This window comes from Homo sapiens, chromosome 2, assembly GCF_000001405.40.
Source record: "Homo sapiens chromosome 2, GRCh38.p14 Primary Assembly".
NCBI lineage: Eukaryota > Metazoa > Chordata > Mammalia > Primates > Hominidae > Homo > Homo sapiens.
This window is the reverse complement of record NC_000002.12, coordinates 104,659,337-104,685,199: the sequence shown is the minus strand read 5'-3', so window position 1 is coordinate 104,685,199 and position 25,863 is coordinate 104,659,337. Positions and strand designations below refer to the sequence as shown.

Sequence of the window (25,863 nt, the reverse complement as noted above, 5' to 3'; positions counted from 1 at the left end):
AACTGTCTGTGATCAAAGGATGAATATATATCATTGTATCTATATATCTATACACACATATATATGTTTATATACTTTTTCATATTATTTTAGTTTTTTTTGTGCTTAGGGGATGCTTTCACTAACTAGCATATAGACTTGGAGAAAAAATAGTTTTTAATCATGATATGAACACCACTCATTTTCACATTTATTAATGCAATAAAAATTTTCTTGGGTAAGCATCATGTATAAAGAGACTGTATTCAGGAGACAAGGATAAGAAACAGTCTTCACACTGAAGGAATTTAAAATCTAGAAATAGAACATAATACTTCTATGTGGCCACGATTTTTTTATTTATCTTGAAAATTTCAAATGTCAGGCACAAATTTCTCTGCAAACTAAAAGACAGTTTCTGATGAGTGTTCAGACATTTTGTCTTGAATTTATATTATCAACTTGATATCTCTGCTGTGTTAGGGGATGCTCACGAGACAGCTGAAAGGGATAATATTAAAATAGATTAGGTGATTGTATTCAGTGTCTATAAAAAGCCATAATCTAAAGGCCTCGATAGTTTATTTCCATAACTACTAAAATGTAAATGGACATTCAAATGTAGCATTCGTATTTTTAGCGAAACATGGCTTTTATCACATATAAACAAACAAGTAATCCAAGATTGTCAAAGAAGTTGTTAGAAGTATAAAATGACTAATTAAAATAAGAAATACCGGTCTTATTACCCTGAAATGGTCTGGAACTGAATTGAATGCTGTTTGATTTAGGAATTATAGCAATTCATATCTTAAGGGCTCTGGAGTCTTCATCAAACCATGGAAAATATGGTACATTAACTCTGGAGACCATACATAGAGATGCTAAGCTCAGGAACATTCTAACCAACAGAAATTCCTAGAGGGGGAGCCTGCTCCTTTCTGCATTCCAGTTTGATCTGCTTAGTTTGGGATAACCTTTGTTCAACAAGTAACATTGTCATCAAGTCTTTTTCTGAATCGGTACCAAATTCTCCCATTTTAAAAAGTCACCTATTTAATAGGCCTATTTCCTTGGTCGGTCCTCTTTACAGGATTTTTGTGAGCTTGAAGATGGGGAAGGTGATAAGAAACCTGTAGAACTGGGTGAGAGGGCGACATAACAGGCCTGGCCCAAACCTGGGGTATTAGGTACGTCAAGGTACAAATTTTATTAGAACACAAAGATGAGTTAGGAAAAATAGTTTGTCAGAAATCCATCAATGGAAACAATGTAGTGTGCTGCTTCTTTAGTTCAGAGGTTTCTATTGGGGTCCTGATGTGCTTTCTCTCTGCTAGTCCCTAGCCTTGAATGTGACTTTTTCAGGCTTACCTTGGGTCTTATTTTAATTTTTTCTTGCACATTCTTTAACGAAAATACTACTCTACAGCTAATGGTAGCTCTTCTTTTCTTAAAAAAAAAATGAAATAAAACAAACAAAAAAATTTTTATGTGTTTTTTTGTGAGCAGAGGCTCACACCTGTAATCCCAGCACTTTGGGAGGCCAGGGTGGGCAGATCACTTCAGTCCAGGAGTTCAAGACCAGCCTGGGAAACATGGTGAGACTCCATCTCTACAAAGAAATACAAAAATTAGCCGGGCGTGGTGGTGTGCGCCTGTAGTCCCAGCTACTCAGGATGCTGAGATGGGAGGATTGCTTGAGGCCAGGAGTTGGAGGTTGCAGTGAGCCAAGAACGTGCCACTGCACTCCAGCTGGGGTGACAGAGTGAGACTCTGTCTCAAAAAAAGAAAGAAAAAAACCCAAAGCATTTTAATGAGGTATGATTGAGCATTTTAGTATTATGTGGTCCATCTTACATGGATATAGAGGTGTGCAATTCTTTTGGTGGACGTGAATTAACACTGGTTAAAGTTTTGCCATAGATTTTCCATTATGTTGAACAAGACAAGTGAAAAATAAAAATAAAGTTTAGCACACATCCACACAATCGACATTCTCAGAACACTGGCCTTCCTCCACAGTTGCTGCTTGGGAAGAAAATTTCTGTTTGCCCCTCTCCTTTTTGTTTTCATTTTCATTTTACCTCCCTTCTCTCCTTCCCTTTCTTCTTTTATCCAGATACTATGAATGAATCTTTTCATTAGTAAAATTCTTATGTACCTTAAGAGAATTATCATTCTGCCTCTTCTTTCTGAAACAAAACAGAATTTTGATTTGTTATTAAATTGGCCTTTTAAAAAATACATCATTACTTATTGGATGTTTTCTCACAGGATAAAAATCTGGGCTTGTATTGTCAATGCTCCTCTCCAAATCGCAATAATTTGATCTATCTATAGATCTATACCAATAGGTGAGCAATAATAGATATCAATTTTGGAAAATGAAAGAAAATCAATTAAACTATTAGAAAGATATTCAAAAAATGTGTCTTGAAGTCTGAGGATGATTCCTATAGAAAATGCTTCTTTGTTTTTGCTTATCAAATCTATTTAATTTATCCAGTATTTATAGAGAGCCTACTATGTGGTATGTAACAAAAAAAAATGTATCCAAGTGTAATACTTTGCCACACCATTCCAGGAAATGGTATTTGGCTTGCTACTGACATTCACCTATTGTCATTTAAAAACATTAAACACTGGACTTGTAGAAATGATTCTCTGGAGAGCACTAGTAGGTTTTTTATAGGACATTGTCTGGAAGGGAAAGTTCCCGGAGCGTGTGAATGAAGGCACTGAGCCACTGCCATGGGTGAAAGGCGACAGCTCAGCCTCTTAGTCTCTGTTCCTTATACCTAACAATAGCACACAATTTGCTATCCAGACATACAGTCCATTTATTACTGAATCAAGTCCAGAGGTACAGAATCGACCTACTTCAAATATAGAAGTAACTAATCTTGCTAGCTTAACAACACTCTATGGTTTCATCCGTGGCAAGGCAAAGATTCTTGAAAATTTTGTCTTTGATTTTCAAATTTAGCAGATAGCACATTAAAAAAATAACATCACTTCCTCAATTATTTTTCTTCATTGATTCACAGGTGACATTTTATATTTTTAATTCTTGTGTTCTTGAAAAGTAACTGCATTATGCCCAAATGTCCCATACTCCCAGACTTCAGTTAGAAATAAAATATGAGCAGATACGTGTGATAAACATGTAGCTGTGAAAAAGTTCAAGCTGGAGAGTCCAGCTGCCTGTGTTTGCATTCTGGCTCCATCATTCACCAGCTGGGCAGCGCTTGGTGACTTACTGACCCTCTCTGTGCTTCTGCAGGATGTGGTCGATAATGAAGCTCACTCATAGAACTGTTGTGAAGATTAGTGCAGTGAAAACATTTAAAGCAATTCTTGGGACACAGTGAGTGCTCAGTAAAGGCTTATAGTTATATCAAAAGATAGAGATACATTTAAATCTTAATGAATGTAGTCCAATTCAATTTCACAAGGACAGTTTTTCTTGAATATAGGAGGGCATTTGCCTATGGAGAAAATAATGTGACATGAATTAATCATTATCAATGGCAAATGATCGTTAAATACAGACATTCAGCAGACAACAGCAGATGGAAGGCAATGGTTCTGTCTATCTTGTTGGTTATTTTTCTCATTCATGTGGTTACTTCATGACATTCTGAGGTTCTGTACCTTGAAAGAATCCTTTCTCTTTGTTTTCAGCAGCTTTAATCTTCCATCAACCTTGCATCTCCTTTGAGGTCTAGAGTGGTCTCCTCATGCTTTTCAGTTCCTTTAGGGCCATTCCCTTTGTCTTAAAAACCTTCTAAAGATACACGCAGCATTTGGACCACACTCTGCTTGTAGATCGGGACTGCTGCAAAGATGTCATTGTTGAAAGGAACTCAGGGGCCGTGGAGCTTTGGGTGCTCTGCTAAGGAAACAGACCCAGAGAGGATCTGGCTTCCTCACGATTACTATCTATGACTAAGCATGAATTAGTAACTACTAAATCCATATCAAATTAGCCATGTGAAAAACTGGGACTAAATAGGCACCTGATCTGAGTTCTCTGAATTCCAATTTGGAGGTTTTTGACACTGTTCCACATTAACTTCCACAGCCTTTGGACTAAGAGTCACTTGGGGCTTGGATTTTTAGTTTTGGCCTTGTCATAAAATTACTTACTGGCAAACACCACATACCTTATGGCAACCACAGAAAAATGAAGGAATCGTAAGGATGATGTACTGTCACAAATTCAAAATGAAGCCTTGTTTGCCCCCCTAGAACTTCTTAGTTAAATCCCAGCCCTAACATTAACTATGTCTCTATTTGCCTTTATAAGGTTAGTACCTTGGTAAGAGAATAAATGCTACTTTGTTCTTTATTTCATTAATTCCATAAATAATAGGATTTTTAGCCTAACAATGTTTACAGTCTATATATAAGCCACTTTATAAATATTTAAAATTTCCACTTATGTAGTTAACACAATCTTAAAAATTATGTTTGAACAGACTTCACCAACTGTCAGAGTGTTAATTGAAGACCACTTAGGAGAACACCAAAGTACCTGTAGAGTCAATGTTTACAGTTCTTACTGTTTTTTTTTCTCCAAAGTTTAAAGAAACATGATCAACCCTCATCTATTTTGTGTTCCTCAATGCAATGACATGAATGTCATATTGACAAGGATTCAATTTCTTTCCATTGCAGGGGAAGAGGAAACTATTCCCAAGATAAATTTAAAAAGACAGCTGGGCCACACAAACTTACCAAAGCCAATACCCAGTGATTAAGTGGTTCTGCCCAAGTAAATCAAATGTGTGCTGTAGTACACAAGTCTCCAAGTGAAAGACCTGTCTAGTATTTTTCATACACACTTTCTGAAAAACAAAAACAAAAGCAAAAGCAAGTATGGTGGTAGCTTTCATGCCCAAAGCAAAAACCTTCAAAACCAAACACTTAAACTACACTGGTATTGTGAGAATAAATGCTGGTGTTCGGGAATAAATACTGTACCAGAAATGCTGATTAAAATATTAACAAAGTCTTATCTTTTTCGAGATCTCTTTCCTCTGTAAACTCAGCAGTTTTAATGGGGTTTGAGTAATGATGGACTTAGTAAAAACTTCATCAAGGTTGGAAAGGAAGAAAGCAATTTTATGGTAACTGTCGGCTAATTAGTGAACTAAAGCCTAAATTGGAACACACACACATACACTTAAAAGACTTTGGGCTTCGGAGAAAGAAAATCCATTGTAATAAGAAGTCAAGCAGTCTCTTCAGTTGACACCAAGAATTCTTCTCAGTTTTTCATGTGGGAATGCAATCCTGTCACATCATATTATCCAAGTAGTTAGTAAAAACAAATTCCTCTGGAATTGCTTATTATTTCAGTGATCCAAATAAACGCCAGTCACCTCAACCTGTGCTTGGTGACTCCCAGGGATGACTGGGCCAGGCTGTGTGGTCCCAGCCGAGCTGGTCAGTTCAGTAACTGGCTTTCATGAAAATGGCCTGGGCCCTTCCTTCTCCAACATGATGGAAATAATTTCTGGAAAGGCCAACATTTAGATAAACCCTGATGGTTTGCACCTTTTTATAACTTTCCAGATCTGACCCATAAGTTCCAGCCAAGTTCAAACCTCCCCTTACGTTCTAGACGTTCTGAGAACCAAACTGGTGATTGGGGAGAGTTTGAATCTACAACGTTGGCCTCAGAACTTAGAGAGTGCAAGTCGTCTTGCTGGTCCTTGCTGTGGAAATCGTTCACTTTCTTCCTTACTATGTACTGTACAGGAAAGCTGCCCAAAATGTGTTTTTTGTTTATTGGTAAAGGGTCTTGTTGGAATCAAGTTACTTAGGAATGTGTCTATTGCAATTAAAAGAGGCATAATGTTTATATTAACATTTTAAAGTTTGGTTACTCAGGGAGCATTGGTTTACATGAGTGTAAATAGGTGATAATGAATATGTTGAATTATTCCATATTAAAACTGTAGCTTCCTAGGAAGATGTTAGTGTGGTTAAATAGACTCTCTAGTACCAGCTGCAGGACAACAGACAATACTATTGTTAGCATTTAGTCCCTGTATATCTTAAATAGGTAAACAAAAAAGCTGGATATCATTTTCCTGCTTAGAATTTTAGTGAATGCATTGACTACAGGTTGCTTAAGATATGATTATGAAGAACCAGATTAGGAAATGATTGTAGGAAAATAAAACTAAGTATTTGGATTTAAATAATTTGCCAAAAATTCAGATTAAAATTATATTGGTTAGGAGAGGAAGCTTCTGGATCCAAGGATACATTCCATTCTATTTCCTGGGGTCCGCTTAGCGGACTGTGGTTACCTGCGTGTGTTGATGCAGGACCCAGTACGCACAGTGATTCCTTCTCCTTCTTCTCAGTGACTTAATTATCTCCTAAAACACTACAGGTGCCTCTCCTCTTCTCTCATTCATTTTCATTCCACTTAGCACGTCATCCCGTGGTGGAGAAGAAGCCTTGAGTGCACGTTTCATTTTTTTTATGGTGTAAAGATACATATTTAGAATTAGCCAGCTGGACTTGGTTTAGATGATCTCGATTTTGTTGGCAACATCCGAAGCATCTTAATCAGGAGCCAGTGGAACATATGCCTTCTTCTCTCCATCAGGGCTGATCAGGATGTGGACTTGGCCACATCAATGTCAGAGAGCTTCTTCACAACCTGTTTGATTTGGTGCTTGTTGGCTTTAACATCCCCAATGAGCACAAGTGTTTTCTTTCATCTAGCTTCCTCATGGCAGACTCAGTGGCTGGGGGAACTTGATGGAAGCATGGTTAAGCTACTTCCTCCTGGGGCTGCCTTCGGAGTTTTGGTATCTTGGGCTGCTGGAAGGTGAGTGACATGTGGATGTTTTGTGTGTGTGTGTGCGTGTGTGGCTGTGGATGCCTTTCAGCAGTGCCTTCTTGGCCTTCAGAGCTTCTGCTTTGGCTTCATCTCGAGGGGAGGAAGGAGCTTCCTTCTTGGCCTTCAGCACCACTTTGTTAAATGCACGTCTCTTAAGCCCTGCTGTCCGCAGGTGAAGTTGTATTCCTGCTGTCATCCCCTTCCCCAGACTCTGATCTGTCTTCCAGAATCTCGCTGCCTCGCGGCGGGCAGAGCCTAGAGATCAGAAACACATTTTTCATCTCTTCTTTTAAATTCTTAACAGGACTGGCCTTTGTCTTTCTCCAAAGATACTTTAGTTTCTGTTCATTTTCCTAGGGAGGTTACAGCTTCCACATTCAAGAGCTCCAGTGGTCAAACTGAAAGAAGGAAATCACACCTCTCATTGTTCTTTGGGGGGAGATTTTCAAATCAATTCAGTAAATACTTGTTGCATGCTTACTATATTGCAGATACTAGATGCTAGAGACTGATGGAAGGAAGTAGATGTGGATATACAAAGATGAGAGTTCCAGCCATGGAGAAGGCTAGGCTTGGATGGAGGAAAGCTATATGCACACAAATCACTGTATAGGATACAATGTGGTAATAGAAAAGAGATTTGAAGTGCTGCAGAGCTACAGAATAGGCAGCTAAATTATTCTCCATGAAAGGATGGAGGAAAACTTCAGGGGGGTGGTAGCACTTCTGATGGGCCTCGAAATGTGGTTGGGATTCAGTTATTAGAGATCAGAGTTTGGGTGTCAGGGGAAGATCACTAAGGCCATAAAGACCAGGAATCAGAAACAGGTAGGATGATAAATGCTAAGCATGGAGTGGTGACCCAGGCACTGACTACGTGTGTGCATACATGCATATGTGAGAGGGGGTGTGTGTACCAGCGGGGAGAGAAGAAGGGCTGTGAGAGAGGTGATGGGTGTCGTGGCAGTTCATTGTGGTGGACCAAGATGGTGGTTATGATTTCAATCAGAGCCGTCAAAGGATTTTCCAAATATTTTATTTTCTGAGAAAATTCAGAAACAACTTAGAGGCATTGAGAAGAAAAATATCCCTTGTAACCTTCCTCTGTGTTCTGAATGCTTGTTTTCCCGCACCTGCCCCCAATTCATATGTTGAGATCTTAACCCTCAAGGTGATGGTATTTGGAGGTGGGGCCTTTGGAAGGTGATTAGGTCCTGAGGGTGGAGCCCTGATGAATAGGATTAGTGCTATTAAATGAGCCCCTTCTACGCTGTGAGGACACAATGAGAAGGCACCATTTATGAACCAGTAAGGAGGCCCTCACCAGACAGTAGATTTGCTGGTGGCTTGGTCTTAGACTTCCCTTCCCAGCCTCCAGAATAGTAAGACACAAATTTATTTTCTTTCTCTTTTTTTTTTTTTTTTTTGAGATGGAGTCTCACTCTGTTTGGGGTACAGTGGCATGATATCTGCTCACTGCAACCTCCATCTCCCATGTTCAAGCAATTCTCCTGCCTCAGCCTTCCAAGTAGCCAGGATTACAAGTGTGCACCACCATGCCCAGCTATTTTTTGTATTTTTAGTAGAGATGGGGTTTCACCATGTTGGCCAGGCTGGTCTCGAACTCCTGACCTCAGGTGATCTGCCCGCCTCGGCCTCCCAAAGTGCTGGGATTACAGGTGTGAGCCACTGCACCCGGCCAACAAATTTCTGTTGTTTATAAGCCACCTGGTCTATGATGCTGTGTTAAAGCAGCCCAGACTAAGACACCCTTCGACCTTGATAGAAATTGCCACCGATCTTCAGAGGTGTTTCCTGCTAATTTCTGCTTTATGAATTTAAGAAAAACTAATAAGATATTATATACATGTTCTGAATATTTTCTTTATTATAAATTTGTATGTTATAAATTTATATACAAATTTGCATATGTATAGCTTTGTATAAATTTCCTTGAGTATGTTCTTACAATTTAATCAGCATAATTTTAATGGCTCTATAATACCCCAGAATTCACATATATTTTCCCCTGTTTTAGGGTGGCCTGTTGATGTAGTATTGCCATTCAGCATTAAACTTTTAAAAGGGATTGTATTATGCATTGCCTAACACTTGTTTTCATAATACATCACAATTATACCCCAATTTACTCCTTTTCCTTACTGGAAATCCATGCCATCTGATGAAAACTCATGGCAGCAGGGCCCCCGATCCCTCTTGGACCACAGCCAGCTTCCTCCAGTGTGTCAGATCCACCTATGGGCGCTCCTTCCCCTGCTCCTGCATTTCCAGTGTCCACTCCTAGATGTCTCCTTTCACTTCTGCTACACTGCCAGTCGACTTAACAGATCTAACTGTGTCTGTGGGGTCTCAGGTACCATGTTCTCCTCGCCCACCATCATCTCTGCCCTCCATCTGCCTTTGGAGGCCTTTGGCACGGGCCCTTCCTGGATGGGCGCTGCTCCTCTGCCCATCACAGGCTTCATGGCCAAAACCACGCTGCTGCCCAGGTGATGCTCTATGAAGAAACTTATCCATCTTCAGCCAGACATCCCAACTTCCACCCACCATGCAAGTGCTCGCAAACCTGGAGGCTTCTCCCTGTTCATGTGTCCTTTGTCATCATTATTAAAAACCATAATATTCCATTCTTTATTTACTTCTTATTGTTCACATCATGGCAGTTATTTCAGATCTTTTACTCTCCGTAATTTTAATTTCCACCCCTGCTCGACTCACTCCTAGAAGTTTACCTTACCTTCTATTAGGAAGATTGAAGACACCTAGAAAATCCCTGTCTGTATTTTTACTTATCTTTTAAGAAATCCCCACTTCAGTTCTCCCCTTCTGCTTCACAAAATGCCATATTAAGCATAAAAGTGCCAAAACTTATAAAAGGCAAAGCAAGTGGTACATTTTCAGAATCTAAATAATTAATGAATAGAGTTAAAAAAAAACAAAACTGTATTCTGCTTTTAACAAATCAAAAATACCCTGTTCATTTCAGTAAGAATATGAATTTAATTTCAGTACTTATGCTAATCACTCTCACTTTGCACACTATTAAGAACCTTTTAAAAACTGGTTATAAAAGTAATATGTTTATTGAAAAAAATTGGAAAAATACACAAATAACGCAAGGGAGAAAATAACCCATAGAACAACACAATGGATAGTGTTATGTAGGACATAGATCATCTAGGATCAAACACTAGCTACCCAATGTATTACCTGAGTGATCTTTGACAACTTAATCTCTCTTTGCTCTCGTTTTCTCACTGTCAAAATAGAGATCAAAATAGTTCATTCTGTGAATTATTTTGATGAGTGAATAAAATAATTATGTAAAGGTTTTATTGCATTCCTTGGCACTTAGTAAACTTCAATGTAGTTTTTCTTTCTTCCAAATTTTATATACACATATTACATGTCATATGCATATGTAATATTTATAAAACTGGGGTCACGTTGCATTTAACATACTGTAGCCTACTTTTTTAACTTAACATTATCTTGTCAGCATTTCCCTGAGCCATTTTGCATTCTTTGAACACATGGTTTTTAATGCCTGAATAGCATTCTGTTCTATGGATTTACTATAATTTACTTAACTAAATTCCTATTGTTGCTTAATTAGGCAGTGGCAATTTTTTGCTATTATAAATAGCATTGCAATGAACATCCTTGTACATAATTCTTTGTTTGCTTCTCTGATAATTTCCTTGGGATAAATTCCAAGAACTGTAATTATTAGGTCAAAGGATAAGAACATTTGTAAGAATCTTGATCTATGTGGTCAATCTGCTCTCCAGAAAGTTTGCCCTCATTTATATTCTCTGCTTCAATATGGGAGAGAGTTTGTGTTTCACCAGACCTTGGCCACTGGTGGATAATGTACAAGAGCTTGTTTTGGAAACTGCTGGTTTCTTAGATGAAGGAGACCTTACGCGCTTTTCATTGGCAGGTTTTGGTTGCATGAGTGATTTGTGGGCGATGTTAGGAGAGTAAACCTGAAGAGCAGATTTCCCTTGGGCAGCTACCCCAGAGTACGGAAATGAACTTGAAACTTCAAGATACAAACATGAAAGGTGAAATGCAGCTCTCAACCATCTTTTTATAGACAAATATTATACTTCCTTGAAAATATTTATAAAAATAATGCCATTTATTTAAGCTAATCTGGAGTCCTCCGCCACCCAGTAATCGTTTAGCAGCCTCACCTTTCCTGTAATGTGGGTGATGACAGTGTGTCACCTGGAAGTGAAAGGGGTCCACGGCTTTTTCCACACCAAGACCTTCTTCTAATCTCTTTCATGTTTGGGCACCAACTCTGGGTACCGACTACTGGGTTCTTATAAGGGCTTACTCTTGACATTTAAAGAGGTATCAAAGGGAGGCCTTTTTTGTTTAAAATGCACTGCTTCCCAACAGTCAGTGGCAGAGAAAAAGGTTGGTTATAGGATCAGATGAGAAAACAGAGTTCAGGAATGCTGACCCCCATCTGAAGTGCTGGACTTACCCTGATGCTCTAACTCATATTTTTGAATCCCTTTTACCACTTACTCTTTAGCTAGTAAGGTCAATGTAATAAGTTATATCCATCATTGCAATGATGCGCTTCCTATGTATGTATGTTAATTGTGTATGTGCATGTTTAAGCTGTGGGGATTTTTTGTTTGAAAGAATGTGTGCTGTTTAGAGAAGAGGGGGCTTGTCCTTGGGTGAGATGGAGATTGTAGTTTGTGTTGCATCCAGGCGGGTGGACTGAGGAGGGTAAAAAGACAGTCCTTCATTCTGCCTGTGAGTGTGATGGCAATTAACATGTTTGTCTGTAAAAACAAGAAGTAGTCTCTGCGCTATGGAGAACTGATTAGAGCCCTGCATGCTCAGAGTAAAAAGCAGATGGGGTGAGGGGGGTAGGGAGGTGGTCGGTATTAGTGAGTTCTGCGAGCACTTGTGCAGGGCCAGACAGCTGAGAATAGACTGGAATAGAAAGCAAATCATTCCGGATGGTGAGAGTCCACAAGACAATCCATAGCTGAACTACCGAGAAAGAGAAAAAGGCAGAGCTGATGTAAACAGAGCTTAGTAACAGTTTGCTCTAGTAAAATGGTGGTTTCATATCAGATTTAACTGGTTCTCCTCATAGCTTGATTAACTGGTTTATCACTTTGTTTTTGGTTAGAAGTTTGAGTTTGTTCAGTCTACATATTTCTTTTTTTTTTTCTTAAAAAAAGGCTCCAGTTTGATATTGTCTTCTATATCGACAGGGATTAATTTTAACTTAGATCCTTTGCTGATGAGCATGCTGACTTGTAAAGCATAATAACTGGTGTTTTCATATCACACTGTCATCATTTAGGTGTAAGGGGTGACTAGATTAAGACTGCAGTTTTTAAAGTTTTTGGTAGCTTTGTTCAGCAAATCCTCTGGAAGTTGTGATGCTTTGCCAGACACAGTCTTTGATTTTGGTTTAGACTGTGCTTTGATTCACTGGCTGCTTGGGATAATCGTCTCTGTTAGCACAGAGTATATCACTGACTCAGATGAGAGCCCGGTGTGGAGATGGCTCTGTCACTACAATCATCTAGTAAGTCATTCCAAGTTGGGGCTTAGGACTCTGATTTCCTCTCCCAGGCTTGAATGTGTGCTTTTGGCACATGAATCCTTCTTGATTCTTATCTTAGTCTGTAAATAGCATAGAAATTACACATGGAAAAATGGAACAAATCATACTTTCTTTCAAAGGGCAAATTAAACATTCCATAGAATAAGGAAAGAGTTGTTAGTGAGGGAAAAAAAATGCAACCTTGCTAGCTCCAGTGTGAAAAAAGAACAGCATAAATTGGACTCAAACGCAACCTTAAAGAACGTTTTGAGCATTTGCACTTTTTTTCTTTAACCGCCCTCTTAGCCCTCCTGCCAAATACCGAATCCTAAGTTTTCCAAAGGTTTGAAAATATTCCCATTAATTTTTTTTCCCCTTATAGCCCTGTATTTACCAGGGCTTGAAATGGAAATACTGAAACCTAGTAATGAAGGGCACTATAGAATTCCTGGTCCATCGGAGGCCAAGTGCTCCTGGCAAAATGCTCAGGAAGTCCCCTTCCTACCAGGCTACAGTGCGGTTTTCAGTTACAGACTTTTGAAAATTCAGGTAAATTAAGAATAAGCAGTTTACCTAAAAAAAAAATGAAGTGAGCTGTTTCTTTGATTCAATAAATAAATACATTTGCAGATGAAAATATGAAACCATCTTCCTGAAAAGGGAGAGGATGAATGTCCTGTGAGAATGACACAGAATGGTAAGATTCTGTCCATCTTCTGGAGGAGACACTGGGTATGTCAACTCTGAGTTGGACAGAGTTCAACGACACACGTGGATTGTCACTCATTCGTGGAATTCTGGAATGCAACATCTCTTATTCCATCCATACTGCTTTCAAGAGTCAGCTGTTATGTGAGCACCTCTAGGACAGTGAGGGGGGATCCTGATTCATTCAATTACAATTGTTCAAGGGATGACCGGACAAATTTGAACAAGGGCAAGAAGTGAGTAAAAAGTGAGTGAGAACAAGGCAGCCTCTCTCATTTATTAGAGAGCTACTGGCTGTGGCTCTGAAGAGGCTGTAGGCAGGGAGGACTGTCTTGATCACATTTGCACAGTTGGTGAATGGCCTGTTAGGACTAGAATCCGGATGCTGCTTTCCAATTCTGCATCCATTCGCCAACCATGCTGGCCCAAGGCACAACCAGCTCCATCACGTTACATCCTGGCCCCGAATATTAAACTCATGCTCTCTCCTGGTTCAATTTTTCATTTATAACTGTGGCACCACTCAAGTTTCCACTCTGCCCTTCTCTGTCTCCTGGCTCAGGTGCATATTTATTCAGCTTCCCCACTCTGCACCTCTAGCCAGAGCATCTTCACTCATCTGTCCTCTCTCTCTCTGGGAAGGCCATCACTATTCCTTTATCGGAGAGATACCTTCAGCTAGGCTCTCAATCCCATCCTCTTCCAGCCCTCAAAGGTGATGGATCTTTCCATCCCTTGTGACGCTGGGACTGAGCCATTCTCTGGGCAGGCTGTACCCTGTGCTGTGCCAAGGCTGCTCCAGCCTCCATCCTCTGCCTGGACAGCTCTGCTGGGGCTTCCCTCTTCTTTTGTGTGTCTATTGTCATTCATTGACATTTGCTGTTAATATGTTAATGTACATATAGTCAATTTTAGGAGTGGTAAAAGCTCCTTTTAGAAAATACAAGAAAATAGGCCCGGCACGGTGGCTTATGCCTGTAATCCCAGCTCTTTGGGAGGCCGAGGTGGGAGGATCACCTGAAGTCAGGAGACCAGCCTGGCCAACATGGTGAGACCCCGTCTCTACTAAAAATACAAAACATTAGCCGGGCGTGGTGGCGCGTGCCTGTAATCCCAGCTGAGGCAAGAGAATCTCTTGATTCAGGGAGGCAGAGGTTGCAGTGAACTGAGATGGTGCCACTGTACTACTGTACCCCAGCCTGGGACACAGAGTGAGACTCCATCTCAAAAAAAAAAAAAAAAAAAAAAAAAAAGAAAGGAAAGAAAATACGAGAAAACAAATCATGCAATAAAGCAGAAATCACTATAGTTCCCAATGTATCTTAGGCTACTTTCCCTCCCCCCACCCAGGTTTTTAAAAAGCAAAATTGTAATCCTATAGTTTTTTTTTTTTTTTTTTTTGTTAGATGGACTCTTGCTCTGTCGCCCAGGCTGGAGTGCAGTGGTGCGATCTCGGCTCACTGCAATCTCCACCTCCTGAGTTCAAATAATTCTCTGCCTCAGCCTCCTGAGTAGCTGGGATTACAGGCATGTGCCACCATGCCCAGCTAATTTTTTTGCATTTTTAGTAGCGATGGGGTTTCACCATCTTGGCCAGGCTGATCTTGAACTCCTCACCCCGTGATCCACCTGCCTTGGCCTCCCAAAGTGGTGGGATTACAGGCGTGAGCCACCACACCCGGCCATAATCCTACAGAATTTTTAAAAATCCCCAACTGCACATGATATTTCTTTGATTGATTTTAAAAGTACTTTCTTGGTAGAATATTTAAAATATATAGAAAGGTCCAAAGGAAAACATTTCCTAGAGCTTCACCCTACATTTCAATGTACTTCCTTAGGACATTTTTTTCCAAGCTCATCTAAAGGGCATACTTTCGGCATGATTTTTGGGAATACCTGGTACAAGAATAGTCACAGCTTCTACATGGAAGAGCATGTAAAGGGGGAGTTTAGCAGTAGATAACAGCTGCTGCTGGGTGCCTTAGTAGTCTTTATTGATTAAAAGAAAACAATCCTAAATGGTTTAGATCATTCCTCTAAAGATGCAGTAAAACATTAGCCACGTTTTTGGCAATAAAAATGCCATAATGCCAAAAATATCATATTATTTTATTTACATACTTCTTGGAAGAAAAAATGCTTTTTTAATTTAATAGTTCTCTTAGTGTCTCAATTGTGTAATAAGCTTAGCTGGAACAGGATGCTGTCATTTATTAGACTGAAGCAGCTTAGTTTCCTGGTTAAAAGTAGGATGCCCCGGCTGGGCGCGGTGGCTCATGCCTGTAATCCCAGCACTTTGGGAGGCCGAGGCGGGCGGATCATGAGGTCAGGAGATCGAGACCATCCTGGCTAACTCGGTGAAACCTATTCTCTACTAAAAATACAAAAAAATTAGCCAGACGTGGTGGCGGGCGCCTGTAGTCCCAGCTACTCAGGAGGCTGAGGCAGGAGAATGGCGTGAACCCGGAAAGCGGAGCTTGCAGTAAGCCGAGATCGCACCACTGCACTCCAGCCTGGGCGACAGAGCGAGACTCCGTTCCCCCCTTCCCCCACCAAAAAAACGTAGGATGATCCTGGCTTGATGGGCTCTGCAACTTACTATCTGTTACTTATTAGCTGGTGATAGTATAAATTCTTATCTTCCCCGTCTTCATAATTATCTTAGCAAGAAGCTGGGTGAATCAAGGCTAGCAGCCACTACTAGTCAAATGCCTGACCGCTTTTTCCGCTTTCAGAATCCTCTCAGGCTTCCCCAACTTGCACCCACCCTCCCAGGGGTAAAATTAGTTTCTCCATTTCTTGTGCTCTCATAGAATACGTACTCAAGTCTCTCACAGTATTGATTGAAATGTGTACTGTATTTTTTAAACGTCCATCATCTCTCACTTCCCTCTTGCCAATACTGTAAGCCTGTGAGCTTATTAGGTATTGGGACTTTTAAAAAAAATCTTTGTGTCATCAGAGCCCAGCCTGGACCTTGTGGGTGCTTAATACAAATGCCTCTCAGATGTATAAATACTGTACTCTGGAACTGATTTTCAAACTAAAATGCATCGCCTCCTATTTATTTCTACTGCATTTGGGCCTCAACATCCCAGTAGTGTTTATTTTTACTTGGTTGTAAGATACAACCAAAAAAAAATCAAAACAAAACATAACAAAACTGTGCATCAGCAGAATGCAGTGATATAGCTTCCTTGTCTGAATATTCCATGTGCATTTAGTCATTTATGCAAAAATTACTCGTGAGTGAAGGAGGTGCAGTGGAATTTACAAAAGTAATAATGGCCAAATAACAAGGAAGATGTTACTTATTATTATAAGGTATTCATGTTTTACAAATGAGCAAACTGAGGCTCAGAAAGACCACATGATGAAGGGCAACACAGATTTACTGGCAGAAATAAGACTACAACATGTTATTCAGGGGAAATGATAGCTGTCCTTGAAATACAGTGGTTAAGTATGGGATAATAGACAAGGCAGCCCCGATGGAGGAGGTATCTCTAACTGAGTCTTGTAGGGAACGGACTAGAGAATAGAAAGATTCCAGGGTAGAGAGCCATAGTCACTTGAGGACATCATGGTGCAAGCATCGAAGCAGAGTAAGACCCTCCAGAGTGACCAGATGTGCAGCAGAGTAGCACACAGTCATTTTTTGTGTGTAACTTGTAATTCCTTTTCCTCCAAAAGGCAGCAACTGGCTCTTGTGTTGGAGCAGCCTACCATTTTACTCACTTTCCCTGCAAAACCTATCGACTTCCTCAAATACCTCCAAATTCAGAGGGACCAGAATACAGTTGAAGGAATAACAGATGTGATAAACAAACAGTCTGAAAAGAAATTGAGTTGTCTATGGATACTATGGTCTGAGTTTTAATAATTCATAATCCCATTAAAATACTAATTCATAATCCAGTTAACATGTGCAGAAACATGAAACATTACTTAAACTATTTTTAAAAGATCTGGGAAAATATTATACATTATTTTAAGTTATTTACTTTGAAGGTATTTAGCATACTAGATATGACAGAACTTTTGACTTTTTCAATGAGACAGAATATGAGAAGACAAAGGTTTTATTAAGAGTGCAGCAATACTCATTATCAGAACAATTTCAAAGTTTGTATAATAAAAGGAATTTGGAGAAATTGAATATTGTAAATGAAAAAACTTTTAAGGCTTGTGTTCAAGAATTGTGCATGTCGTGTGTTTTTGGCATGCTTTAAATTCATGAACCACAGTCTGCTATAAAAATTCTGCAAACTTTTTAAGGCTTTTGCATCCCTAATCAGTTTCTAAGTGTTATCAATTAATAAAATATATTTCATAACAAACATTTGGTAAATATTTAGCATCATTATTGATTTGCACTTACCTCAGGTTTTTTATTCTTTTTTCCTCCACTTCTAAAAAAGCATGCTACAGATTTCAGTAGAAGTTGGCAGCCACACAGATGTTGAAGTGTGAATTTGGGATGTTTGCAGGTTGTAAATATGTGGAATTTTGATCGTGAATGGGAATTTAACATTACAACCTTACATGGTTGGAAAGATTCTGCAATAGCAACAATTTCACATTTGCATAAACAGCTTTATTATAGTTGGAGTAATATATAGAAAGAACACAAATTGCTCTGACCAGAGTTAAACCTATAAAGCAATCACATTTGAATGAGGATTTTACTTAAAATCATAGACTCATCAACTTTAAAGTGTTTTTATCTTTCACAAGAGACAAATTTAGCCTGTTATGAATAAAATCCCTTAATATCTGCATTTTCTGCCTGGCATATGTATATTGCCTCAGTGGAACTTTAAAATAAAACCATACATAAGAAAAAATTAAAAAGAGGCAAAGAACTAAAGCACTAGACAAAAAAATCTATTTTTTTACATCAAATAGTAAAATAATTGTCAAAAGTGTTTGCTTTAATTGAATTTTAAGCCTAGAATCTTTTTCAGCGCTTGATTTCACGGTAAGAGTACAGAGAGTACGGAAACAGCTAGAACCTTTTGAAATTTACCATTCTCTTACCTTTTTGTTGATGTTAGTACCATCTCTGTCACTTTGCTTGGTGGAGGTATAGTTTTGATTGTGTAATTTTACAGGTATTTTATTAAAATATTCAGGAAGTTAGGTAGCTACATTCCAAATGCAACAAATTACAACGTGTTCTTGATAAATCAGAATGCTTTATGACACATATTTTCAAGCCTCAGGTTGAAACAATTTGTATGTCCCCATCGAAGGTGTGATATTCATTTGAAGAATTATGCAAGTTAGTTCAGCATTTCAGATAAATGTTGGATTAATTATCTGGCTCCTAGGAAACTTCACTCAGGCATGTCTTAGTTGCATACTGTTTGAAAATAAAAAGCAATTGAACTGAGAAATACAAATATAGCATTTCATGATATTGCTATTTTTATTGTAACTCTAAGTCAGTTTTAGATAGCAAAGCTCCGACCTTCAATTGAGGAAGCCTTTATAGTTTTTAACTGGTTATTAACTCCATCTCTTAAAAATATTAATTTGTAAGTTTGAAGGGAATGAAACAAAATTGTCTAATCACTTGAAAGTTGGTAAGATGATTTAGAAGAAAAGCACTCATATACAGAATGTTATTTCTCTAGTCTCATTCACATGGATGTTAACTTGTCAAAGCTATTCTCATTTCTATATATTTTACCCACTCTTAAAACACTGAATGGAGTTTTGCTGCCTTAAATTCAGAAGTGGAGTATTAATTCAGGAGAGAGAGCAGCAAAAATGTGAAAGTCTTTGTATTTCTCTCCTGGCAAATCAATGGCTTGTACAGATATGAGGGAAATAAATGCATGTTCCCAGTTAGAGTTCTTTAAAAGGAGGGGATGAGGAAAGATGAAGGGAATACTACTAATGCTTCTCCAAACATTAGCTGGAGATTGCAGTATATCTCAGCTGATTTTAGTCTTTACTTTAAATTTGAAAACTGAAAGAAAGCTAGAATTTAATAATAATAGGTAGCATTTATGGAAAGGTTTCTGTGGGTTCTCACCTCTCTACACCTATAATCTCATGAGATTTTTATGCACAACCCTATGAGGGAGGAGCAGATATTACCCCATTTTACAGGTTGATTAACCTGGGAAGAGATAAGTTATGGAAGCTGTCAATGGTTATACTGCAAGCATTTTGATCCCAGGCAGTCTGCCTCTAGAGTACACACTCCATTGAAATCTGTGTGACTGCATCTTGTTTTCAGCCCCAAGCAAAGGGCATGACAAGTAATTCTGAACATCATTCATGTCTTGTAGATGATCTGAAAATAAAGATAAGGAAAAAGAATTTAAAATCACATGGGATTCCGGTATCCAGTGACAATGATGGTGTAGTTTTTGGAGTGTGTATTTCAGGGTTTTCAATACTTACGGACATACCTGCACATTTGCGTGCACTTGCCGACCTCTCAGCTTTTCTCAGGAGAACAATACTCATTGACTGATCAATCAATAAATCCCTGTTGCTTCTCACCACGGAGTGTACTACACAGAGTAGCCCAGATAAGAAGCAGCTCAATAGCAAATCAAAGTGTGCGAATGTCTGCCTGTGTATGTGTGTGTGTGTGTTTGTATGTGTATGTGTGTATTTGTATGTGTATGTGTGTATTTTGCCCAAATAGTTGCTTGGTATCCTAGAGTGTACTATGTAGAATTGCCCAGATAAGAAGCAGCTCAATAGCAAACCAAAGTTAGCGAATGTCTGTCTTTGTGTGTGTGTGTGTGTGTGTATGTGCGTGTGTGTATGTATTTTGCCCAAATTGTTGCTGATCTTCTTTGTCCACACTATTGTGATATGCGAGACATTTCTTTCTCCACAAGCTGTTATAGGGCAGTCTCATGACTCCATTTTATTAATGGTTGCTTTAGAGGTTGACTGCTTAGATCCTGGAGGTATTCTCAAGGGCTTTCCAAGTAATTTTTGGATGTCGGGTAACACGTATTTAACCCAGATGATCTTAAATATACTTTCCAAAATTTGTTCTGGCCTCTGCCGGCCCCCTGCCTCTTTCTCTTCCTGTGGCATTTCTTAGGACTTCTCAGCATTGATTTCCAGTTAGCTGTCTTCCAGCTGCATTGTGGGATTGCATTTTCTGGCCTTCCTGAGATTGGGTGTGGTCATGTGACTGATTCTAGCCAATGAGGTGCAGCATTCAATTGCCAGTGCAAGACCCTCTAGAGCACTGTGGCTCCCACAGACTTAAGTCAGATGTGTAATTTTCAAGTTTCTAGTAACACATTAAAAATGTAAAAGAAACAGGTGAAATTAATTTTAACAATGTATCTTCTTTAACATAAGATATTTAAAATACAATTTCAACATGAAATCAATATAAAATTATTGAGGTTATTTTATATCCTTTTATAATTACTATTGTTATTTGGACAAAGTCTTGGCAATGAGATATGTATTTAGCACTTACAGCAATCTCAATTCACCCAAGCCCCATTCCAAGTACTCAATAGCAACATGCGCCAAGTGGCTACTTGGTTGGGGAGGCCAGCTTGGAGCGCTCTTTGACTCTGCTGCAGTGCAGCCTTGTTTGAGATGGTGGCTGTTGTATTCTTGGGTCACACAGTGAGGGGATGCGGAGCAGAGCTCCCTGCTGCCAAGAGGGACCTGGAATATGATGAGCACTAAACCTTGGTTGTTATAAGCCTCTAACATTTTTGTGTTTTTGTTATGTTACAGCATACTCTACCCTATCCTGCCTGACATTTCATTCCTCTCCATCACAGCGTCTTTTCTATCAGCTTTATAATATTGCATGGTATACACATATCATAGTGTATTTAACCAACTGCTCCAGTGTCGCACACTTAGAATTGTTCCCATTTACTCAATTTAATGATGCTGTAATATTTATCCCCATAGTTAAATCTTAGGGTACAATAATAATAATAATGATGATTTTTTTTTAACCACAAATTCCAAGAAATGAAGTGGTTGAGATAAAGGCACAGCACTTTTTATAGTGTATGATAGTTACTTCTGGTTGTTTCTTCAGAAAGTATCAATGTATTCATTCATCTACTACCTGATGTATAGCACAGAGTATTTATGTTAGTTTATTATTTAGATTAAATACTTTTTCATGTGAGTTAGACATTGTATTTATTATTTTTTCTAATTGCTTGTTCATTCCAACTGTCTTTTCCTACTGACTTGTTTGTCTTATTGATTTGTAATAATTCTGTCTGTGTGTAGGTTATTAAACTTTTGCTGTCATATTATATGCTCTTCATTTGTCATTTTTTCATCTTTGAGATTCAATTAAAGAGAATATATGACTGTATACGACTTTAAGTGTGCTTTTAGATATAACTTGTTTTTAAACCTGAAAATTTTGATTCTTCAGAAGTAAATGTGGATGCAAAAGCATAGGTTATTGCATGTCAAGTATTCAATTTTATTAAAAAATACAGTACAAATAAAGAATGTTCCACTTAGGTCCAAACTAAAGTAAAGCATTACTGAATACTTTTAGTTAATCATTACATGTTCTTTCATTCTTTTAAAAAGCTACCTGTGAAATCTTCCTGCATTACAGAACAAGATACGCATTATAAATCCTAAACAAGACATCCTGTTTTTTTTTTTTACATGAAATACCTTCTCTTAGTTGTGTATTTGCTTTCCACATAGAAAACATGTAACGCTCAATCAATATTTCTAGAAGAATTTTAGACTAACTCAAACTAAGTATATGTTATGGTTTGTTACCCCAACATTATTTCTGATAATAATTTAAATTAAAAAATGAGAGTTAATTCTCCCTTCCCACTTGGCCATTTTGGTCCAGTGACTCAAGAATTTTTTCTAAAGGATTCCCTTGGTTGTAATTGGCTTGGTGGTCCCTAATTCTTGTTATCATTCTATGCTTGCAACATCTGCCTGTTGTTTCTTGAAAAGTGTATTGTGAACTACAAGCTTATGCTATTTCTTAGCACTTGTATGTCATTCTTAACACACACAAGATGATTTGCATTCATTTGTAATCATTGTTCTTTGCAAAATACAGGTAAGAGGGTTATTATAATAACCACCATTTTGCCCATGGGGAAACTGAGACTCAGAAAGGTTAAGTGACTTACCCAAAGGCATACAGTGAATTGATGGCAGAGCCGGAATTGCAGGCGAGCATCCTTAGAGGTTGTCTATTGTTCAGCACACTCAGCGCAAGGCCTCTCGGCAGTGTGTTTTTTCTTCCAAGCATCACATTTTCTTATTCCTTCGCTAAACAATTCTTTAAGAACATGTGACATGCTTATAATACAAGGTTAGAATAATAATATCTTTTCTTCTATTTTTTCCTTCTCTTACTTAAATGTATTATTCCAACAACTTGGAAATAGCCGGGAAACAGAGAAATCACTCAAGCTTTTTACATGGAAAACAATTGAATGGCAATTGAAGAATCCAAAAGTGTATCTTGTCTTTTCCCTTAAGGGATGGGAAATGCACTCAAGTGAAAAGGAAAACTATGTACTTCTGTACACTCACTTATATTTACATAATAAGAGGTGAAGAAGAAATAGTAGTAGTATCACAAATAAGTGCTGTGATTTCAAAGTCTTTGTAATTGTTGAGAGTGACTAAACAGTATACAGTGCAAAGTCTGTAGGGATATTAATTCCAGGTGATCCTTCAAATTTATTTTGGCACTACAATTTTTTTAACAACCCCAGGTACTACAAAACTGTTAAATAGTATAGCACTATACTAATTCAACTGTTGAAATAACAGGTTATTAGTGGAAAAGGATTTTCCAGCTTTAAGTAATCAAAGAACAGAATGAATTATCCTTTGCAACGTTTTCTTAAAGTGTAGACTAGTATTGTTTTCAAGATAAGATTTTGGGGGGAGTTTGGGAACTTTGCATGTGTGTATGTTTCCATATTGATTTTGTGGATGTCAAAATCAATACTGTATTCAGAAAGAATAACATGCTATAACTTAGAAATTCCTATCTCCTCCTTCTCTCATGCCCCCATTTTCCATTTTAAAGAAATTTTGTGTTTGTCCTATTTAGAATACTGTTTGTGGATAGTTTCCCTACATTTTAAAAGATATAGTTTTAGCTTCTCTTTTATGTAAATTATTTAAAAATGTAATTTTAATAGGGATCTTTGGAAAGAACATGAAGGATATGAACAGAATTGTTGTTCAACTTAATTTAGGACCCTAATTTAGAACATACACCATGTTCTTTTTGCCTCCGAATGGTTTTTTAGTAACCCTCTGCTCCAAGAAGTTATCAATTCTTACCCACCCTCAGGAAGCAAGTCACATGTATTCAAACATAATCAGATTAACAGAGAAACTTAATCCGACTTACCTTAGAAGTAAGATTTCTTTCTCCAGCTTTCAGGAATAACACTTAAATACATATTTATCTAATTTTGTGGTTTTGTATAAAAAGTATTCAGTCACATTCTTCCTGGAGAGGCTACTTGTATCTCCTTTCTCCTTATTCCATGGTGTTCTTCCTACCTCAGGAAAAATTGGAGATAAGAAGAACTCACCATCTTTTAGGCAACCCTAGACTTCAGATTTCAGAGAATAATCAAAAAGGAAAATCAATCAAACAAACGAAAGATCCTTCAGATTACCCTAAGTCAAGTGGCTCATGCCTTTTATATGAAAGCATAAACTTTCTCTCTCGCATCATGTCCTCTCTGCCTTTCTAGCCACCTCTTTGGATTATTTATAGTTCCCCCTTCCCTACCTACCCACCACCCCTTTTTTTGTGTGTGGCTACCTCCTCTGTACCCAACAAAGGAGGAAGCCTGAGAGATGTTATCACTGTGGGTTGGCGGGGGACGGGGGTTCCCCTGCCTCTGGGAGGGTGGAGGGAATCAGGTTGAACAAGCAACATCACAGAGCATCCCCTCTGCTCACTTCTTGTCGCTGAGGCTGGGGACCAATCAACCACCTTAACTCTTGCACCTTGTACCTTGGAGCTGTGGAAATCGAACTATCCAGCCCCAGTGGGGTAGACCAGGAAGGCAGGCTTTATAAACACTGTCTTTCTTCTCTCTCTCTCTCTCTCTCTCTCTTTTTTTTTTTTTTTTTTTGAGATGGAGTCTCCGTCTATCGCCTAGGCTAGAGTGCAGTGGCGCAATCTCGGCTCACTGCAACCTCTGCCTCCTCGGTTCAAGTGATTCTCCTGCCTCAGCCTCCTGAGTAGCTGGTACTATAGGCGTGCGCCACCATGCCTGGCTAATTTTTGTATTTTTAGTAGAGACAGGGTTTCACCATGCTGACCAGGATGGTCTCGAACTCCTGACCTCATGTTGCACCCGCCTCGGCCTCCCAAAGTGCCGGGATTACAGGCGTGAGCCACCGCGCCCGGCTCTTCTCACTTTTAATAGCATAGCTTGGGCCTTGTGCGAGTCCCTGTGTGATGTGATTTGGAAATCTTAAAGAGGATATGGGGCTTGGGGTGCCCTCAAAGGCTCAGCACCCAGCAGAATGTGTTCTTGCTTAGGGTAGTAGTAAATCACCCACACTCTCATCACCTGTCCTGTGTTCAACTCTTTGTCCTCTACATGGTCATATTCTGACTTCCAAAATAATTAAGAAAAAGAGAACTTCCTTCAACCTCAGCATGTGCAAACACAATTTCAGAGGTAAATAGTTACCATGTCTAGCAATCAACTCTTTGGGCTCATTTGATTGAAATTCATGAGTTTGGGGAGAACATGACTGGCTAAGGAGTTTGGCAGCTCCAAGCCTGCAATAAACAGAAACTCCTGAATCACCCTATGAAAACCAGATATCTGGCTACGTTTATCAATATTATTTTGTCTAACTCTTTTTAACATACATTTTTTCCAGTTAAAAGCTCACTGAAATCCTCATATAAGAATCCCTCTCTCTCCAGCCCTCCCTCTCCCTCTATTTCTCTGTCTGTTCCCTGGAGAAATTAAAAAAAAAAAAGAGCATATTGACGCTAAATAAAAACCAGAAAGAGCAACCTTATGTCATTTATTTCTCTGAAATTGAAAAAAAAATCATTTTTCCTCTTAGAAAACTGTTCTGGTTTAAAATAAAAACACTTCAAAAGGTACTTTGCATTATATGTATGTCTTCCATGAGAAACAACACCCACATCTAGTGATTTTCTCATCTTGTCCCCGTCTGACAAGATCTGTACTAAAATATATTAAAAAAGAAAAAAAAAGATAAAGAAGAAAGAAACAAAGTGGGGGAAAAGCTGACTGGGAGCAGCAGAAATCTCTCCCTCAGGCCGGGGGCCTTTCCTTTCTCTCCGGGGCAGGGGTGGAGGCCTCGACCTGGGCTTCCTGGGGCTCCAGCTCTGAGACCCCGCGACCTTCTGACTCTGGGGCGCCCCTGGGTTCCCCGACTTCAGCTCCCACCCCATTCATTCAGCTCGACCTGGGAGCCGGGCTCAGCTTCCCTCCTGGAATTCACCCAGGGACCCTGCTATTGTCCCTGTCGTCTGACCTCTGCTACGCTAAGTTCCAACAGGGTGATCTGGAAAACGCGCCACTGGCTCCCTGGCGGGCTTCCGGACTCGCCTTTTCGCGCCCTCGGCGGCGGCTCTTTTCTCCAGGGGGGACCACCTAGCGCTCGGCTTTGCACGGCCAATTTATGGCGCTGTCAGGGGCTCGGGCGCCGCGCCCATTGT

General features: G+C 39.1%; 1 long non-coding RNA gene and 1 pseudogene across 5 annotated transcripts, besides 1 other annotated feature; both read right to left on the bottom strand.

The window, feature by feature from the left end:
- Window positions 1-1,314: an enhancer, noted in NCBI's record as "VISTA enhancer hs1177". NCBI's record gives its function as "enhancer in: heart[3/10]" and the evidence as "EXISTENCE:transgenic organism evidence [ECO:0001131][PMID:17130149]".
- LOC105373526 (uncharacterized) lies at window positions 318-25,863 on the bottom strand. 5 transcript variants are annotated; one of them, NR_188088.1, is made up of 9 exons: window positions 25,680-25,863; window positions 23,548-23,698; window positions 22,304-22,455; window positions 19,272-19,470; window positions 18,204-18,528; window positions 10,076-10,122; window positions 4,720-4,829; window positions 2,141-2,171; window positions 318-480 (listed from the first exon to the last, which is right to left on the bottom strand). It is a non-coding gene; the product is annotated as an uncharacterized LOC105373526 (long non-coding RNA). The 5 variants fall into 5 exon arrangements; NR_188089.1 differs by lacking the exon at window positions 2,141-2,171 and having other exon boundaries at window positions 19,378-19,470; window positions 25,754-25,863; NR_188087.1 differs by lacking the exons at window positions 2,141-2,171; window positions 4,720-4,829 and having other exon boundaries at window positions 19,207-19,470.
- RPL23AP27 (ribosomal protein L23a pseudogene 27) lies at window positions 6,480-6,996 on the bottom strand (annotated as a pseudogene).